Source organism: Homo sapiens, chromosome 20 (genome assembly GCF_000001405.40).
Source record: "Homo sapiens chromosome 20, GRCh38.p14 Primary Assembly".
NCBI lineage: Eukaryota > Metazoa > Chordata > Mammalia > Primates > Hominidae > Homo > Homo sapiens.
The window spans coordinates 38,742,841-38,747,935 of NC_000020.11; positions in this window are offsets into that span (position 1 = coordinate 38,742,841).

The window sequence follows — 5,095 nt, forward strand, 5'->3', positions numbered from 1 at the left end:
ATCCGTGAATGTGCCCTCATTTAGAAATATAGTTGTTGCAGGTACATAGTACAGATATAATCAGTGAAGCTCATACTGAAGTAGGGTGGGGCCCTAATCCAATAAGACTGGTGCTCTTAGAAGAAGAGGAAAAGTGGGCTGGGCGTGGTGGCTCACACCTGTAATCCCAAAACTGTAGGAGGTCGAGGCAGGTGGATCACAAGGTCAGGAGTTCGAGACCCGCCTGGCCAATATGGTGAAACCCTGTCTCTACTAAAAATGCAAAAAATTAGCTGGGCGTGGTGGCGCATGATTGTAATCCCAGCTACTTGGGAGGCAGAGGTTGCAGTGAGCCAAGATGGCACCACTGCACTCCAGCCTGGGCAACAGAGCGAGACTCTATCTCAAAAAAAAAAAAAAATTAAAAAATAAAAAGAAGAGGAAAAGAGACAGATACACTCAAGGGGAGCACCACATGATGACGGCAGCAGAGACTGGAGAGGCCAAGCAATGCTGAGGATTGCAGGTGTGTTCGTCACTGAGGATTGCAGGTGTGTTCGTCAGGATTCCCCAGAGAAAGAGAACTAATATTATATATGTATACATACTTACACACACTACATGGAATTGGGTTACTCAGTTACAGAGGTAAGCAAGTTCTAAGATCTTCAGGGTGAGTTGGAAAGCTGGAGGCCCAGGAGAGCCAATGGTTTAGTTCTAGTCTGAGTCTGTATTAGTCCGTTCTCGCCCTGCTATAAAGAAGTTCCTGAGACTGTGTAACTTCCAAAGAAAAGAGATTTAATTGGCTCATGGTTCTGCGGGTTATACAAGCTTCACTTCTGGGGAGGCCTCAGGAAACTTAACAATCATGGTGGAAGGCAAAGGGGAAGCAAGTACTATCTTCACATGGTGGAGCAGGAGAGAGCAAGCGAAGGGAGAAACAACCAGATCTTGTGAGAACTCTACCACAAGACCAGCCAGGTCCATGGTGCTAAACCATTAGAACCACCCTATGATCCAATCACCTCCCAGCAGGCCCCACCTCCAACGCTGGGAATTATAATTCAACACGAGATCTCCGTGGTGACACAGAGCCAAACCATATCAGAGTCCAAGTCCGAAGGCCTGAGAACTGGCCTTAGTAGTGTAGTTCCAGTCTGAAGGTCAGCAGTCTTGAGACCAAGGAAGAGTCTATGTTTCAGTTCAAGTCTAAAGGCAGGAAAGGCTGGGCGGCGGCTCATGCCTGTAATTCCAGCACTTTGGGAGGCCAAGGCGGGTGGATCACCTGAGGTCGGGAGTTCAAGACTAGTCTGACCAACATGGAGAAACCCTGTCTCTACTAAAAATGCAAAATTAGCAGGGCATGGTGGCACATGCCTGTAATCCCAGCTACTCAGGAGGGTGAGGCAGGAGAATTGCTTGAACCTGGGAGGTAGAGGTTTCGGTGAGCCGAGATCGTGTCATTGCACTTCAGCCTGGGCAACAAGAGTGAAGCTCTGTCTCAAAAAAAAAAAAAAAAAAAAAAAGGAAAAAAGCTGATGTCCCAGTCCAAAGCCATTCAGGCAGGGAGAGTCAGCCTCTTTGTTCTATTGAACTGATTGGATGAGGCCCACTCACATTAGGAAGGGAAATCTGCTTTACTCAGTCTACTGATTGAAATGTTCATCTCATCCTAAAGCACTCCATAGAAAACACCCAGAAAAATGTTTGACCAAATATCTGGGCAGCCAGAAAGGCTGACATAAAACCAACCATCATAGCTGACAGCACCAGGAAGCTAAGAGAAAGCTGTGGAACAAATACTACCCTGGAGCCTTCAAGAAGAGCATGGCCATGCCGACACCTTAATTTTAGCCTTCTGCCTCCAGAAGTGTAAGAAAATAAATTTCTCTTGTTTCAAGTCATCCTACTTTGTGGTACTATGTTACAGCAGCTAGGAAAATAATACAGTAGGCTTCTAAAGCATTTTTTTTGAGACAGAGTCTTGCTCTGTTGCCCAGGCTGGAGTGCAGTGGCACAATCTCAGCTCACTGCAACCTCCACCTTCCAGGTTCAAGTGATTCTTGTGCCTCAGCCTCCTGAGTAGCTGCGACTAAAGGTGTGCACCACCATGCCCAGCTAATTTTTTGTATTTTTAGTAAAGACAGGCTTTCTCCATGTTGGCCAGGCTGGTCTCGAACTCCTGACCTCAAGTGATCTGCCCCACGGCCTCCTAAAGTGCTGGGATTACAGGCGTGAACCGCTGCACCCAGCCTAATGTATTTTTTTCTAGTCATTTCCATGGGTAAATCTTTACAGCCCTAGATTTTGTCTAGTGCTACAGTGTGCAATAGAGTAGCCACTAGCTACATGACTATTTAAATTTAAACTAAAATTAAGGCTGGGTGCAATGGCTCACACCTGTAATCCCAGCATTTTAGGAGGCCGAGGTGGGCAGATCACTTGAGGTGAGGAATTCACAACCAGCCTGGCCAACATGGTGCAACCCTGTCTCTAATGAAAATACAAAAATTACCGGGGTGTGGTGGTGCATGCCTGTAATCCCAGCTACTCGGGAGGCTGAGGCAGGAGAATCGCTTGAACCTGGGAGGCAGAGGTTACAGTGAGCCGAGATTGTGCCACTTCACTCCAGCCTGGGTGACAAGAGCGAAACTCCATCAAAAAAAAAAAAAAAAGAAAGAAAGAAAGAAAAATTAAAATTAAGAACATTTTAAAAATTCAGTTCTTCAGTTACACTATTCACATTTCAAGTGCTCTGCGGCCACATGTGGTTACTGGCCACTGTGTTAGACACAACAGATACTAGATCATCTCCATCAATTTGCACATTTCCAATGTACAAAGTTCTGTTGGACAGCATTGGTCTAGTGTATTAGTCGGTTTTCTCCTGCAATAATACTGCATAGCAACTCCAGAATTTCAGTGGTTTATAAGAATAAACATTTTTCTTGTTCAGAGGTCCATGGGGCAGCTCAACTTTAGGTTGCAGGTTGGCTGGACTTGGCTTCGGACTGCAGTTTAGGTTCAGATCTGCTCCATGTATCTCTTATCCTCTTTGGACTCAGGTATGTTCCTCTCATGACTAAAAGCAGGAGTGCAAGAAGGCAATCTAAACCAATCATATTCAGTTAACAGTCCATTGGCTAAAGCAAGTCACATGACCAAGCCTAATATCAGTGTCCTCAAGGAGAGGCTCTACAAAGTTACAAGGCAAATGGTATGGATGTATCATCCTACTATAAAGGAGTGAAGAAAAAAAAAGTAAAGGAATGAAGAACTGGGAATAATAATCCAATCTACCTCATGTGCCAAACGCTTATAAAGACCAGCCTGGGCAACATGGCAAAACTCTGTCTCTATGTGGTGGTGTGCACTTGTAGTCCCAACTACTAGTGAGGTTGAGGCTGGTCTTGAACTTCTGGGCTAAAGCAGTCCTCCCACCTCAGCCTCCCAAAGTGCTGGGATTACAGGCATGAGCCACCACACTGGCCATCCCCGTTGGAGTTGCCTCTCATATATATATAAAATAATAATATATATAATATATATATTTACCTTGGTGCTTTTCTTTTTTTCTTTTTTGTGAGACAAAGTTTCACTCTTGTTGCTCAGGCTGGAGTGCACTGGCGTGATCTCGGCTCACTGCAACCTCCGCCTCCAGGGTTCAAGCGATTCTCTTGCCTCAGCCTCCCAAGTAGCTGGGATTACAGACACCTGCCACCATGCCCAGCTAATTTTTGTATTTTTACTAGAGACGGGGTTTCACCATGTTGGCCAGGCTGGTCTCGAACTCCCGACCTCAGGCGATCCACCAGCCTCGGCCTCCCAAAGTGCTGGGATTACAGGTGTGAGCCACTGCGCCCAGCCAGTGCTTTTTCATATTAATATACATAGACACAATTCTTAAATTAACATTCACTAACTTACATTTACTGGTTTCTGTGTTCTGCTGGTCCCCCTCTTAATTAACTTAACGATGGTTACTTCAGATATCTGAACAATGGACGTGTGTTGAAAGACAACACAACCTGATTTTTGCCACTGGGCTGGCTCCCAATCTGGTTTAGGTGTGTTAACAGGCTGGGCCCGTCGTCTCAAGCCTGTAATCCCAGCACTTTGGGAGGCCGAGGCAGGCGGATCACTTGAGCCAAGGAGTTCGAGACCAGCCTGGCCAACGTGGCGAAATCCCGTCTGTATTAAAAATAAAAAAAATTAGCTGGGTGTTGTGGAGCATGCCTGTAATCCCAGCTACTCGGGAGGCTGAGGCAGGTGAATTGCTTGAACCGGGGATGTGGAGGTTGCAGTGAGCCAAGATCACACCACTGCACTCCAGCCTGGGTGACAGAGCCAGACTCCGTCTTAAAAAAAACAAACAACAACAACAACAAACACTGTTAATAGAGGTTCTTGAGATAAGTTAGGAGTTTCATTTCTCGCTTACAATATCTTTTGTAACTAATTTGATTTTATCTCTCAAACTGAAGTGTTATAGACCTGGTAGAGTAGATTCAAGGCAGCTGCTCTATTCTTTTTCTTCTTTCAAAATGGTTATGGCCAGCATGGGCAACATAGTGAAATCCCTTCTCTACTAAAAATATAAAAATTAGCTGGGCGTGGTGGTGCACGCCTGTAATCTCAGCTACTTAGGAGGCTGAGGCGGGAGAATCACTTGAGTCCAGGAAGTCGAGGCTGCAGTGAGCCGAGATCGCCCCACTGCACAAAAAAAGGTTGTAGTAAAACAACTGCTCTAATTCTTACCCCCTTAGCTAGTGAAAAGATGGAAATGCGACAGGATAGAGCGCGACGAGTGCTTTTAGGGCTAAAACTGAGTGGGTCACACACATGGCCTCCTCTCCCACCCGCTCCTGGCCAGAATTTAGTCACATGAGCGCATCTAGATCGCAGCCAGACGGATGGCCACGTGGGAGTGGGAGGTGATGCCACTAAAAGAGAGGGAATGCTTGGGGAACAATCAGCAGTCTTTTCTCAGGGTTTGAGAAAACACTGTGTCTTAGTGAGAAGACACAGTCTGTGCGAGTTAGTAAAGTGAACAGAACTGAGTAGTCAGCTCCCTAGTCAAGAAATTGAACAGTCGGCAGAGTTTGAGATTTCTTAA